The 16134-nt window shown below is 34.9% G+C and overlaps 1 protein-coding gene across 4 annotated transcripts in view, besides 1 other annotated feature; it reads left to right on the top strand.

Moving 5' to 3' along the window:
- NEGR1 (neuronal growth regulator 1) overlaps positions 1 to 16134 on the top strand; it is an 886597-nt gene that overhangs the window by 406628 nt on the left and 463835 nt on the right. The gene's annotated exons all lie outside the window — the stretch shown is intronic.
- Positions 12681 to 13182: an enhancer, noted in NCBI's record as "NANOG hESC enhancer chr1:72328413-72328914 (GRCh37/hg19 assembly coordinates)". NCBI's record gives its function as "activates a minimal SCP1, AML or CMV promoter by ChIP-STARR-seq in primed H9 embryonic stem cells {active_cell/tissue: H9 hESC(primed)}" and the evidence as "EXISTENCE:reporter gene assay evidence [ECO:0000049][PMID:30033119]".

The following is a 16134-nucleotide window of genomic DNA, read 5'->3' as shown; positions in this document are numbered from 1 at the left end:
GTATATAATGGTCTATCTTCATCGAGCCTTTCCATTTTTTCCTTCTGACTTTGAATAGAAACAGACAAAGAGACAATACTCAAGCGAAGAGTCATTTTCCAGAGAAGGATCCTAGTTAGCTTGGATATTTGAGTACATTCTTTATTAAAATCTTGAGGCTTAGTGTTTCAAGTAGTTAAGCAGGACCTCTGAAATACAGATGTTTTCAGTCTCTAGGATCTAAAACCAGGACTGAAACATTCCATTGTTCAGGTTGTTTGCTGCACAGGGATGCCTGGCTGAAAGAGTAAGGTAACATCTTAAATCTAGCCCGTATCTGCACATCAAACTGTAATTTCTATCACTGAGCTGCACCTTTTCTAATTCACATGAAGACTTTTTTAACAGTTTCAGCATCCCTGTTAAAGGCAAGGCTTCAACTGCCCTGATTATCAAATGCCACTGCTACTGACAACATGAATCGGCTAAATTCCAAAGACTCAGAATGACCAGATATCTGCTTTTACAGAGAGAAGTAGGATCATTCTGTACCCAAGTTATAAGTTTTAGTTTAAGACATTTGTATTAATCAGAGACCTACTTTCCAGCACAATTAAAGCAAATAAACACTTCAGAGAGAAAATGGACAAATTGGGCCCAGGATTTATTTTTCTTGAAACTCATAAAATTGTATGTACAAGATTGGCATTTTTAAAGGTGTATCATTTTATTTATATTTGCATTTGTGATGTAATATAAGTATACTTTTATAGAAACGAAAAACTTGGCCAGGCACAGTGGCTGAAACTTGTAACCCCAGCACTTTGAAAGGCTGAGATGGGCTGATTGCTTGAGCCTAGGATTTTGAGACCAGCCTGGGCAACATGGCAAAATCCCATCTCTAGAAAAAATTTAAAAATATTAGCCAGGTGTAGTGGTGAACATCTATCGTCCCAGCTACTCAGGAGGCTGAGGGAGGAGGATTGATTGAGCCTGGGATGTTTGAAGCTGCAATGAATCATGATTATGTTACTGCATTCCAGCCTGGGTGATAGAGCAAGACCCTGTCTCAAAAAGAAAAGAAAAAGAAAAAGAAAAACTTGCTGTGGAAACCGAAAAGTTTCCTCAGCAATCAATATCCACAGAACATTGACTTGTGATATCATGATACTAAGTGAAAATCAAGTCTTAGTGTAAACTATCTTTTATTTGAAGATACTTGAACATCTAAGGATGCTAAACACATCTAAGAATCAGGCCTGGCTTCAACCCACTTCAGTGAAAGCAAATTCACATCCTAACTGCTTTTCAGAGCAGGCTAATAATAATGTAAGGCTGGGATATTTAAAAAGCAGGCATTAATAATAGAGAAGAAGATACACCATAAAGTAGAAAACCCAGGTGATGTTGCTTTGTAGGTATGAGAATGAATGGCTGTGGAAGTTTGCAGTTGAAGAAGATAGAGACCCACAAACCTTGCTAGACAGGGAGAGAAAATAAGAAGTTGTGTTGTTGAGTCTGAAGATAATATGTACCATTACTATTTTACAACTAAAAATAAGAATGCATTTTTATTTTATGTCCTACCTTGCAAATTACTCCTAAATACAGTGTTCGATTCTTCTATTTTTCTTCATTAATGATAATGCACTTTCATAGAGTGCTTTGAGATCCTTAGATAAAAGGTACTAAGTGCAAATTAATGTCATCTAAAAGCTGTCTTAATAACTTCATAAGCAAGAGTGGAATGGCTTCCAATTTAATTCTAAATAGGTGTAAATCATTTCACATGAAGAACCAAGTGAATTAATTGCAGAAGAATAGTTCAGCATGCACCAAACCTATTAGGATACTTGAACACAGCTGCAACTCAGAGGATAAACTAGATTAGAATACTGTTTGTAGAAAATAGCAAATCGAAGCACTCTTTCAGGCAATTAACAAAATCAGAGCATCCTTTGAAGCAAATAAGCATGAAAAATGCCTTTCTTACTCTGATTTTTCCAAATGCCTAATTTTGCTACTGTCTTGAGTATCTTGGATTATGTTCAAAGCCCAACACAACAGAGTTTCTGTCATACAGATGAGATTTTGTTTTGATGTGAACTATTCAACCACATCCAAATGCTCATTTTCAACTATAGCAATGATGAATGTGAACTATTACAGTAACACCCACTACAGCTTGACTCACTGGTGGCATTACCCATCATAGTCTACTAACGTTTTTCCATTTATTTGGAAAGAAGGAGAGATGTGAGTAAATCGAGAGGAAAACTAGAAAAAGTTACTAACAACAATAAAGTGTGAATATTCTAGCATATTTGCACATAGATTATTTAGAGTGCACAATGTTTTTATGTGCATTATTTTAATTTTGTATAATAATGCTATGAATTAGGGAAGATGTCATTTTCCTATCTTTTAAAGAGAGGAAAGAATACTTTATATACATTAACTGGTCCAGGGTCATATAACGAGCCAGTTGCAGGTCAGGAACTTAACCTAATATTTTTATTCCAAAACATTTTCACTATCCCATGCCACAATAAAATTTCTCCTTTTAAACATTTTGTTTTGTTAACCAATATTTTAGCTACTTCACACTGCAAAACAAGCCTTAGAGATAATGTTCTTTCATGGACTTTATATATTTAATATATGTATTTATATATTTACATATGTTTTCCAAACCCAAAACTCAAATTACTTTGCAAATATAAATGTTATTCATGTAGATAAATGAACTTTTCTATTAGAATCAAACAAAAACCTCAAAATACTCTATTTGTCTTTTTTTTTTTTTTTTTTTTTGCTACATCTTTAGGGATTCAATTTCAACATACCTCCCAATTTCTACCGTTTTCCAGTTTAGGAATTGAGTGGTAGAGCAAGAAATAGTATGTCTGAGTCATAAAATATAGGTCATTTTGTTTTTGAGTGTGAAACATCGGTTAAGTCTAAGGGTAGTGTGGGTTCCGCTAACTTCCTATGCCATTTTCAGTAGGAAAAATAAACAAGAAATGAAGTAAAAAGAGAGAGAACAACAATGTCCACATGGCAACAAACAAGAAAGAGTGTTTTCAGTAATGTTGGCTACTGTACCATCAAAATCTTAACTTCAATAAATTGTTGCCTACTTCTTTTGGGTTTCACACAAACTGCTCTTCTCAGCAGTATGGCCAGCAGCATATTATTGGAATTTGAAATGAATCCAACCTTTATCTGTCAAAATGTGCTAAACTATATGGTGGTCTTAAGACACTGTTAATTTTCTGTGACTTCAAATAACCAAGTTTTATTTCTTGCTCATGTTGCATGTCCAACGTGGTGAATAGAGGCGCTTTGCTCATGATGGTCACTGAGAGATGCAGGCTGACAGAGAAGCCACATTATGCTTTGCTGGAGGGAAAAGGGAGAGCACTTTAGAAGCTCTCCACCTAAACAGGGAGTGGCACACATCACTTCTGTTCACAACACTTCCTTGCCCATAATACCTCCAGGGCCCCTTGTAACTGGCTTGTCACAGAAATACGCGGTGAACAGAGTTAACGTCTACAACACAATACTACTCCTTTAATTCCTAGAATAGTCTATAGAACCATGTCTTAGAAAACCTAAAACTAAAGACTGGAAGTTAGTTCAGCAAAATGTGTCAAAACCACCTCAGAAAATCATAGTCTACCACTTAGGTGTACTTAGAGGGAAACATCATTGTCTTCCTGCATGTAACACCTCTTCAAAGCAAGTTTTAGACAGTATTTAATCATAATATTATCATAAGGTTAATTTAGAAACTTTTAAGCAATTGAATGGACTATAGTTGTTCACCAATTTTATGACATCTCCTATGTTGTCATCATTTATTTTTATTCCATTGTATTATTTAGCTGGCCAGAGTACTAAATTTTATAGATTGCACAGCCTAAAAGTCCAAGGTTGGTCTGCTGAAAGTATTTGATTCTATGCAAACAATATTAAGAGGAGCTCTGTGAATAATACTTCCCATAATTCTTCTTAGAAAGGATAAATTGATATTTCAGTTAATCTCAAATAGAAATTGATTGTTTGTGTTCAAGTTACTGGAAGCTGCAATTCATGAATGAGCTCTGATAGAAAAAAGGACCCTAGGTAGATAGTACAGAGAGTTAAGTTTCTTCTGAAACAAATAAAAAAACAATATATCTGTGCCTCAATAAAAACTATCTTGTTGACAGTAAAGAAGGTGAAAACAATTTGATTTAAACTTTCAATACCTGTTTCAGAATCAATTTGTCTAGTGCAGATCAGCTTAACTTGTCATGTATTGATATGCCAAGATAAAGCATGCTGTTTAATGAGTAACAACAAATGTACAAGGTGTATAGGATGTATGCAACTGACAGGGCTGCTTAATATACATTTTGAGCTTGCAATGAACATTAAGTGACCACCACAACTGGGATGCCGCATGAAAAAGTGGCTCGAAATGACTCTTTTGTTTACTTTTCTCATGATATTTAAAATGGTGTGATAAGAGGTGACCTGACAAGACAATATTATCCTGAAACATTGTAGTCCACACAAAAAGTCTACTAGAAATGCTATTCTATCGATTTTGAATCTGAAGAACTATTGGAATTTCAGAGATGAGACTTTCCAAAATGACTAGGTCACTTGCTTCTGAGATCACCCCTAGAGCTATGTCTTTTTACATCTCAGCCTAATATGTCACCTGCATTAGTAAGCCTACATAAGTGTTTCTTTACAAGATATATTCTGCACTCCCAAGTCACTGAAACGTTGATGATAAATAGGGAGTTTGATATTCTTAACACACGATGGAGAACAATCTCAAAGACAGAGAAGAACTTCTGCTCGGCTCCCCTTCTTAATGTAATCCTGCAATAGAATTTAACTTCCATTAGGCTTGCTTCTCACAGTTCTCTTATCCCCAGGTATTCGTATGAAAGCTGAGATTCTTACAAAGAAAGTATTCTAGCCTTCAGGGTGAATTTTCAAAACTCTGCTAAGGCAAGGCACATACAAAATCTTGCAGTTTATTGCATTTTGGGTGTATGTTGGCTCTGCAGTGTTTTGAACATTCACCCCTTCAGGTTAGCACATTCATGAAAACAACATCTCATGAGTGTGATATGAACTCAAATTTGAGCACACAGATTTGAATGAATAAAAAGACACTTACAGAGCCAGATAATGGTCACATTCATAGGTCTGTGATTTTTCAACCTAGCCCTAGGCCAACATAATTTCACACAGTGTAACAGAATGAATAATAAAAGTATTACTTAATCTTTAATATATTACAATACCAAATTCTGGAATTAGGAATATGAGTCAGCTATACTTAACTGCACTCCCCACCTGCAAGCTGTAATTGTAGTGCAAGTAAAGTATAAATTTAATACAGGCCAGTTTTTTAATGTCATCCACCAATTTCTAATTTTTAAGATGTTTTTCTTTGAGCAATGGTCATTTTTTCAAACTACTATCTGTTACTTCATCAATATCCAGGAAGAGCCCACTGATCATTTCTATAACTATAAATTGCATACCCTAACGTAATTATGCGTTAATTATTTTAATTCCTTAGATAAAAAATAATAGATATTTCAAAAACTATAGCTTTTTGTAGCAGGTCTTTGTCAATACTACATTCTAATATCTGAAAATGTTTAAAGCAAGTGATTTGGTTTGACTGTCCTAATACTTGCAGGATACTCAATTTATAAACACTTCATAAAAGCTATCCAGGCTGGGCATGGTGGCTCACGCCTGTAATCCTAGCACTTTGGGAGACCGAGGTGGGCAGATCACCTGAGGTCAGGAGTTCAAGACCAGCCTGGCCAACACGGCGAAACCCCGTCTCTACTAAAAATACAAAAATTAGCCAGCTGTGGTGGCCCGCGCCTGTAATCCCAGCTACTTGGGAGGCTGAGGCTGGAAAATCACATGAACCCGGGAGGTGGAGGTTGCAGTGAGCCAAAGTCATGCCACTGCACTCCAGCCTGGGTGACAGAGGGAGACTCTGTCAAAAAAAAAAAAAAAAGAAAGAAAGAAAAGCTATCCAAACATGTTTAAGCAACTCATTACTATATATTAAGACCACTGTTAAATATCACAGATCATCATAAAAATGTTAGTATTTTCCGTATTAAGTGAAAGTGAAAAATAAGAAGTCAAAATAATAATTATTCTTTAGAGCAATTATTTTCTTTTGACTTGAATATATACTCCATATGATTGTTACTATGTTTTAATATTTATCTATACAAATATTGTTTGGGAAAATTTCCAACTTCTACTCTGTTTAGCTACTTTTTCCATAATATGCTATTACCTCAAAATAACAAGCCTTGTGTAGCACTGTTAACCTTATCTAGCAATCAGTATCCATCACATTAAATAAATGTGAGACTAATTGCATTTCCCTTATGGACTATCTGTCTGTTTTCCAGAATTTTGGTAAGGTAATCACTTTTCCCTCCTACATTTTTTATTCAGATTTATTTTTAACCTTATAGCTGTATTTTAGTATTTTTGGCTATTTCACAATTATTCATTTATTTTTTCATCATAGTATAGCTTTAATTTATAGGCTCACTATATTTGTCTATATTTATCAGTTTAGCTCTCTATATAATCAAAGTTTTGAGGACTTGTATTAGTTGACTTAAATAACTCATTTACTTAATTTCATCTAGAATTCCTTCCTCTAATCTATTCATCCATTTAGCAAATATTTACCTAACAACAGATTTAATCCAGGTAGTTGGTATTAAATATTAATCTATGAATAAGTCATGAAAGGATTCTGCCTTCACAGAAAATAAACAGGTAAAAGATGCAGATGAACAAATTATAGTTTTTGGTGTAGTGTAGGAAACACAGAGCATGTTTGAGATCACTCAGGAGGTGTTCCTAACTAGGATTTGGAATTGATGATGTATTCCTAGGAGAAATTGAGGTCATTGTAAATCATGAAGGTTGAAGAGGAAAGAGCCTGATGAAGGGCCTGTTTTCCAGTATGTACATACATATTGGGGGTAAGGCGTATTTGAGGGGAAAGTGGTGAGAGGGAGAAGGTGGGAAGTGGGAAGGGGAGAGAGAGTATTAGGTCAGTGAGAGAGGAAGAGAGTATTAGGTCAGTGAGAGAGGAAAGAAGGAATATAAAGTGCAGACATAAGTGAGAGGAAGGAGTAGAAGTGTGTTTCAGAAATAGGATATAGCTTTCAATACACTAGAAGCAGTTTGATATGATTAAGATATTAGAAAACACCTAGAAAGATAGTTGGTAACAGAAAGTGCATTTTCCATGAAGTAATTAAAGTTAAACTTCAGGGGCCCTTTTTTGTATGAACAGCTTGCAAGTTCCTGGAAGTGACTTTAGCAAAGTATTTATATAATATAAATCCATGTATGTATGTATGTATGTATGTATGTATGTATGTATGTATGTATTCTGTCTATCTATCTATCTATCTATCTATCTATCTTCTATCATCTATCTATTTAATTTAAGGTAAGGTATGTTAACTCATTTGTTTAAGATGGCTATTTCTTTCTATGATTTCCCTTGTGTTAGAAGACATTGGAATGGCCACTTAAAAGGAAATTGATTTGGGAATTCATTTGATTGAGATTTAGTGGGATTTTTAAATGTAATTCATTTGTTTCCATGTATTGTAGTTACTTTCAGTTATTGCCATGAGAATATTTTCCAGGAATATTGTGCTAAGTAATGAGGAGTAGCAGATTTAAAAAACACGCTGGAGAGATTTATATTTCTTGCTGATTAGACATGGTATACTGACATTGACAAAGATTATATAAAACGTGTATGTGCCACTAAAAGGAAGACATTGACCAAAAAGTGTTTAATGGTGTCCTCAATTCAAAGAGCAAAGACTTGATATCAAACAGGTCATATCTGATAGAAAATTAATACAGCTTTTTCCAAAATTGATAATAATCCTAAAATAGTTTCTGGACAAAATCAATGATGAATTGGTGTGCTGTAATATATTTCCAAAACTAACAATAATAAAATTAAATTTGAACAGTGTTGCTAAGAGAAAAGGGAACATAATCTTTATATTCTTTCTATAGAAAATGACATTATGAAGTAACTATCATGTTAAGAGGCAAAGAATACCTAGTTACTTCATAGAAAATAAATATTGTAGAGGTGGTTGAGCCAGTTAATTAATAATAAACATGATACAATATTTTGGATTTTTTACATTTCTGATATTGGTCAAATTTTAAAATTTTGTATATGATTTTGGTCAGGAGTCTATTTCATAGTACGGCAATTCTAATCATAACAGTCTTAGTTGACATATCAGTCTCTCAAACACCAAAAGAGAAGCTTACCCCTTAATCAATTTGACCAAATTTTTAAATATTGTAAGACAACTGTTAAATATCTTTTTAGTATTTATTTCTGTAATGTAAACAACCCCAATTCCTCCATTATTTGCTACACAGCATAATAATGAAACAATTTTGATTAATGCTATCCATTCCAGTAGATTTGAATCCCCTCGTCCCCTCCCTCGACGGAGTCTCACTCTTTCGCCCAGGGTGGCGGTTCAGTGGCATAATGTCGACTCACTGCAACCTCCACCTCCTGGGTTCAAGCAATTCTCCTGCCTTAGCCTCCTGAGTAGCTGGGATTATAGGCACGGGCCACCACACCTGGCTATTTTTTGTATTTTTAGTAGAGATAGAGTTTCACCATGTTGACCAGGCTGGTTTCAAACTCCTGACCTCAAGTCTCAAACTCCTGACCTCAAGTGATCCGCCCACCTCAGCCTCCCAAAGTGCCGGGATTACAGGCGTGAGCCACAGTACCCGGCCAGGATAATGTATCTTTCTTTTCAGTATTTTCCCTTTCAAAGGCACAATAATATTCGTACTTATATGATAATCTTTATGCCTCACAAATGACTTTCTTCTACACTGTTGCATTTAATCACAATAACAAAAAGGAAGTAGGGACATTCCCACTTTTCAGAGATAAAAACTGCAGTTTGGAGAGGTTAGGTAACTTAATAAATTCATAGCTTTTGATGTAGAACCTTTCTTATCTTCTGACACTGCATTCAGAGAGCGTCACATTATACTATCACTTCTTACCACGTTTATTTATAAAACATACAACAGCTGTTAAGATATGCTAGGTTTTCCCTTATAAATATTATTTACTGACCATAAAACCAACTACAAGCTAAACATAAAAGTTACCCTGTCCTCTCAGAATCTATAACTACCAGTAATGTTGATGGAATTACTACACAGTGGCATATTTAAAGGATCAAAATATTGGGAAAAATTTTTGCTGAAACAATTTAATATCACAGTCATTTTAATTAAAATGTGAAAAACTTTGTAAGGTCAGATATTTACGTCATTATTTAAAGTACAGTTTACATTATTCAAAATAGCTATTGCCTTTTATCATTTTTTGAATATTGAAATGCTGAAAGAATTAAATGGTTGGGAAAGTGTCTGGTCTTCATTATTATTTGATTAGCCTATTCTTACTGACATTATAATGGATTAATATGATATGTTATGGAACATTATGTCAAAAACAATTCCAATACTTCCTCTGAAACCAGAATTTCTTTTGCTAAATTGCTAATGGTCTACTTAGGAGATATTTTACTGTTCTTCTTGTGTTTCTTAGTTGTAATTATTCAATTAGAGATTTTTAAATTATTCAAGTAGTTTTTTTGTAACCCAAGAAAGAGTTCTATGGACATTTTACTTGCCTTTTTTCTTTCCTCATTATTATTTCCTTTAAGTAAAGGGAAAGGTGTCTTTTGTTACAGGCTTTTTTTGTGTTTGTTTATATAGTTGAAAGGAAAGGTATTTCAAACCAGAATTGGGAAAATTATAGTATACTTTAAATGTTGGCAGTTTGAAAATAACATAATCAACACAGAAGAACAATGGACTATAATAATGTTATTCATAAGACATGTCTAAGATGTATATGTCTTTGTTTAATACAGGAAACAGAACCCACTCAAGATATTTTAAATACAAATAGATTTTTTTATTAGCAAGGATAGTTCTTTATTGCTATGTGTGAGACACAAATTGGAAACAAGAAAAGCATATGTAAAATATTAATATGATATTCATAGAATGCAATGGCATTCTACTCTTTTTTAATATACTTAAGTTCTGGGATACATGTGCAGAACGTGCAGGTTTGTTAGATAGGTATACATGTTCCATGGTAGTTTGCTGTACCCATCAACCCTTCATCTACATTAAGTATTTCTCCTAATGCTATCCCTCCCCTAGTCCTCCACACCCTGACAGGCCCCAGTGTGTGATGTTCCCCTCCCTGTGTCCATGTGTTCTTATTGTTCAGCTCCCACATTGTTCAGCTCCCACTTATGAGTGAGAACAGGCGGTGTTTGGTTTTCTGTTCCTGCATTAGTTTGCTGAGAATGATGATTTCCAGCCTCATCCATGTCCCTGCAAAGGACATGAACTCATCCTTTTTTATGACTGCGTAGTATTCCATGGTGTATAAGTGCCGCATTTTCTTTATCAAGTCTATCATTGATGGGCATTTTGGTTGGTTCCAAGTCTTTACTGTTGTGAACAGTGCTGCAATATACATACGTGTGCATGTGCCTAACCAAATAGATTTTTATACAGGGAATTAGATGCTTACACAATTGTTAGAAAAGCTCTACTGAAGACCTTCAGGTATGGCTAAGAAAATATTTCAGATATGATCTACTTTATAGCTAAATAAATAAGATGGCAATCAGGAGGCCACTGGGAAGTTCTAATCATTTTATCCTTACTACTGATTTCTGTATTTTATTCAGCATGTGATCTCACCTTGAACTTCTTTTCATTGAAAAACTTGTTAGAAACTGTCCTCTCTAAAAACTGCCTCAATGAACTGTTCTTAGTGTGTACCTCTCTTCTTTCAAAATAGCCTATACATTCCCTTTCTTCTTCATGTGTGCCTAAATCAGAAACCTGAAAGGACAGTTTTTTGTTTCTCATATGATATTCAACTTGCTGTATAAAGCCATGTGCATCTACAGCATTGTATAAATAATGAATAATAATATTTATGTCCTTCAGGGGAATACTGAGAACTTTTCTGCTTTAATTGAGTTCTTCTGTTTGTGTTTTTGATGTTTTATTTACCGTGTGCTTATTGGAAGGATTTTTCTATTTATTGTTGTGGTTCCTGTTCTATTTTGGCCCTGGAAATAGCTCCTGTCTTGTGTTGCCCTTTTCTTTGGAATTTTGTTTAATTTCTGTCAGATGAAGGTGCTTTGAAGGCTGCAGGGCCCTTAATGTCAATAAATTAAGGATATAAAAAATGCCATCTGCCACCTTTTCACCTACTATACAACATTTATCAATGTATCAGGAAAAATTACTTTAGTCACAATTCTTTTACAGAGAAATTTATTTTCTTGTTTTTCTCTGATGACCTTCTAATTTTTAGGTGTAATCAGATTGCAGTGAAGCCAGTAAATTACACATGCTATTATTAAGTTTAAACTCTAGCCACTGCTAGACCATTCATATCATGGGACATTGTCTGTTGAGATTAAGCAGGGAGCAGGACAAACCTTCCTTACAGGGTTCATCAGTGACCAAGAACTGCATGCCTGTGTGCTCCACAGTGGAATAAGCTGTACAGTCTTAACAACTGCAGATCACTTAGCATGAGTGATACCAAGAGGTGGTACCATGAAACCTGTGGACCCAGGCGACCTCTCCCTAAGACGGCCCCCTGACAACCATGTGGGGAATTCACCAATGAGTACTTCCCATCATCTCTAAGGGAGAAAATATAATTTACTGCCACCTAAACAAATTTTCTAGTCACAGAGATGTGACATAGTATATGAATTCTGATGTGTGACTTTGGGCAATTTGCTTACTTTGGTGAGTTTCAGTTTTTTTAAATCTATAAAGCATGAAAAAATACCAACTTAAAATGTTGTGGAAAGATTCAATAAGATAACATGTATAAACTAATTAACACCTAGTGAATGTTAAGAAATGATATTTTAATATTCTATTAATAAGGGACAGTCCTCTTGTTCATTATGTATAATCAACACGTTGGGTGGTTGCCAGACCACTCAAAATTATATTCCCTAAGGCGCTCAGGAACACTAGTACTGTCTATTCCCAAATGAGGAGGAGCCATCTGCTTTTGAAACTTAATAACTGTGTGTAGGAACTGTAATCGAAACAAAGAGAAGTAAGTCCAGTATTAATGCTTCTAATTACTTGTGTATTCACATATTTCTTTTTCTTCATCTTTTATTTAAAGTTCCAGGGTACGTGTTCAGGATATGCAGTTTTGTTACATAGGTAAACATGTGCCATGGTGGTTTGGGGCACAGATCAACCCATCACCTAGGTATTAAGCCCAGCACCCATTAGCTATTCTTCCTGATGTTCTTCCTTCCCACAACTCCCCCAATAGGTCCCAGTGTGTGTTGTTCCCCTTTCTATGTCCATGTGTTCTCATCAGTCATCTCCCACTTATATGAGGACCTGTAGTGTTTCTTCTTCTGTTCCTGCATTAGTTTGCTGATAATAATGGCTTCCAGCTCCATCCATGTCCCTGCAGAGGACATGATCTTGTTCCTTTACGTGGCTGCATAGTATTCCATGGTGTATATGTACCAAATTTTCTTTATCCAGTCTATCATTGATGGGCATTTGGAGTGATTCCATGTCTTTGCTGTTGTGAATAATGCTGCAATGAACATATGCATGCATGTGTCTTTATAACAGAATGGTTCATATTCCTTTGGGTATATATGCAGTCATGAGATGGCTGGAATGAATGGTATTTCTGCTCCTAGGTCCTTGAGGAATCACCATACTCTCTTCTACAATGGTTGAATTAATTTACATTCCCACCAACAGTGTAAAAGCATTCCTTTTTCTTTGCAACCTTGCCAGCATTTGTTGTTTCTTGACTTTTTAATAATCAGCATTCTGACTGGTGTGAGATAGTATCTCATTGTGGTTTTGATATGCATTTTTCTAATGATCAGTGACGTTGACCTTCTTTTCATATGTGTGTTGGCTGCATGAATGTCTTCTTTTGAGAATCGTCTGTTCATGCCTTTGCCCACTTTTTAATGGTGTTGTTTGTTTTTTTGTTATAAATTTGTTTAAGTCCCTTGTAAACTCTGGATATTAGCCCTCAAATGTATTTTTGATGGCATATGATGTACCCAGCATTGCACTAGAAAATATATACTCCTCCTTTAGAGCCAGAGAAATATATCAGTAAATTAATTTTGATGCAATAAAATCTAGAGTAAGAGACAATACACAGAATGGAGAGGAAAGCCACCAACTCCTTAATACAAATGCAGAGCAAAGGAACTTATAGGCAATGCCAAGATTTACCTCAGGAAGCAATTGTGATGTTTTTGTAATATCTAATAGTCCAGAACAGATTTGGGTAAGAGATGTCTAGGGAAACAGGGAGTGAGTGAGGTAGTTATCTTATGATGTTTTTGAAAATGGGCGAGTGATGACATTATTAGAAATGGCAATGGGATGATAACTTGAGAACAGCTTTGTAAGAAAAAGTGTTAGGAGTGTCAGCTATGGGGTCAGAAAACCTAGGTTCACTTCCCTTTTTTGACCCTTTTTAGTTATGTCCTTAATTTCTTTTTGTTCAAATTTCGTCTTCTAATAAACTTGCCAGCATGTTGTGAAGATTAAAGAGTTTGTTTTTAATGATAGGAAGATCTCCCTATAATAAGCATTCAGAAAGATGATTACTATTCACATTGGAAGAAAAGAAAAACAATATGGATTACATATAATTTAGGAAAAATACACAGAAAATGTAAACAAATTCTCTAACACATTAAGAAATATTGTGTCTTCTGTCACACATAATGAAATCATTTCTTCAGATTTTCACTCCTGTGTGTGCAAAAAGTATATAATGTCCTTGAAGAGATGGTGTGATTTTTTTTAAATGTCTCCTGGCAGGGGCCACCTCATCTAAATACATGGTTTTTCTTTTCTTACAGTGAAATCTGTTTCATTCTGTTCTACTGTGTTGAGTAAGACCTCTTAAATGGTTAAAAAGAAAAATGGAAACAGTGATAATTACTCACTAACTTGAATTAATGTGACTGCATTATGCTCCTAATAACTGTAGTTTACTCATGTCTCCCCTGTAATAATCCAAAATTAATTTCATTTTATGCTTGCGAATAATCAGTTTATTTATAAAGGTTAGCCATCTTTCTTAGCACAAGTTATTCCTTTCTCATTACTTACTGAATTGTGCTAATGAACCCAAGGCTGGAGATGCATGCAGATTTATTTCTCATGCATTCTTTGGTGTTGAAGAAGCTGCATGAGAAAGAAATAAGTCTGAAGACAACTGCATTTTGGGTCTAGGAATCTGATTCTAGTCTTAGTTGTTTGCAGTGCATATAGGCATTTCAATATCTCCTAGCCTTGCCCATGGAAGGGACCAAAACTACCCCTAGGGAAAAAGTACAGAAGTACCCTGAACTCTTCCAAAGAGATGTGCAGTCCACCTCTCTTAGATTGTAATAATAGTGTATGGTGTTTCCTGTATGCCAGTCACTCTTCTAAGTGTTTTACATTTAATTCTCATGACAACTCCAGGAGGTAGGTGTCATCATTTTATATGAGTCATTTTATATGAGTCACAAAGAGATGAAGGAACTTGCCCAAGATCATACAGTTATTAGATGTGATGCAAATCCAGGCTGCTAGCTCCAGAGACTGTGATCTGAAACACTATTCTCAATATACAGATCCAATAAAATATTCTGTCATTTACAGGTAATAACTTTTTCCCTATGGTGAGATGAAAATAAGCAGTAGTTAAAAGAGAGTAACTTCTTAGCTTTTAATCGTTAGCAAACTAGTAATTGTCATCTCAATGGCCTCTTCTCACTGTTGGTTACATTGGATACCCAATTATACTATTTTAACTTGATTATGTAGATGTGCTATTCTATAAAAATAAACTCCAATTTTTTCATGCTCATATGTTCACTATTCCCAACCACAGAAATGCTTTATGACTTGGGAAATTGCTTATCCTTTCTGGGTAAGGATTTATTTTTTCATCTGTACATAAGAGAGGAGATGTAATTTAAATCTCCAAAGACTTTTTAACTCTAAAACTTATCCTTCTGTAATTCCTTAAGAATGTGATTTAAGCTTCATGTTGTTTTGCTTTTAGTATTTATCAGCCCCAGCAAACTAAGCTCACTTTTTTTTTGCACAGTAAATTTAAGGTAAGTCTTACTATCTATCATTGTATTTTGTGATAATCTGACTTCTAATATAATGATTTTTCAAACATAATTTTATTAGACTTTGGAGTTGCAGAGTCACTCTAATGAAACACACAATAATTTTGAATTATAATTTCCCAAAACATAAAGTGGTCTAAAAATGACCTCCCACTGTATTTGGACAATATCAACTGATTCACAAGATTTACTGGGCAAAGATTGTGAATAGATTGCTGAAAAACACACTGTAAAGAGATAGTAATAAAAAGTATGGCTCTGCTGTGAAATGATCTCTCCTACCTTGTAAGGTACTTGCAAAGTTATGTTCTCAGAAATGCTATAAAACAAGCAAGCAAGCGTATATTGTCTCTTACAAACTCCCCCTTTGTGAATAGTTGTTTTTTTTTTTTTAAATGATGAGAATTTTGACTGCCCTCTACCAGTCACACAAGAACACATATACCATAAAGCTATGAGCTTCTTGGTGCATTTGTAAGGATAACAGGGTCACGTATCACCTGGATTCGCAGAATTTGGAATGGAATGCTCAGTCATATTGCAAAAATTTGCAGAGCAGTAGGGGTCTGGAAATAGACTGTTGGCAGCTCTTCTTCTTTTATTAATCATTGTGAGTATGGCAGATGGTCCTTGGGTTGTTCTCCAAGAGAAGTTCTCACTCTCTCTGAGGTGCAATGAGAGGTTCTCTAATGCTAATGTCCTCATTCAGGAACAGTTACTTTGATATTTAGATGGATGAATAAAAAGCTTTTACTGAACAATTAAATACAATTTTGTTGAGTGTCATCTGTGTTCCAGGTATGGTTATAGACAG

The sequence above is a fragment of the Homo sapiens genome, chromosome 1, assembly GCF_000001405.40.
Source record: "Homo sapiens chromosome 1, GRCh38.p14 Primary Assembly".
Classification (NCBI taxonomy): Eukaryota; Metazoa; Chordata; class Mammalia; order Primates; family Hominidae; genus Homo; species Homo sapiens.
This window is presented reverse-complemented; position numbering and strand designations above follow the sequence as displayed.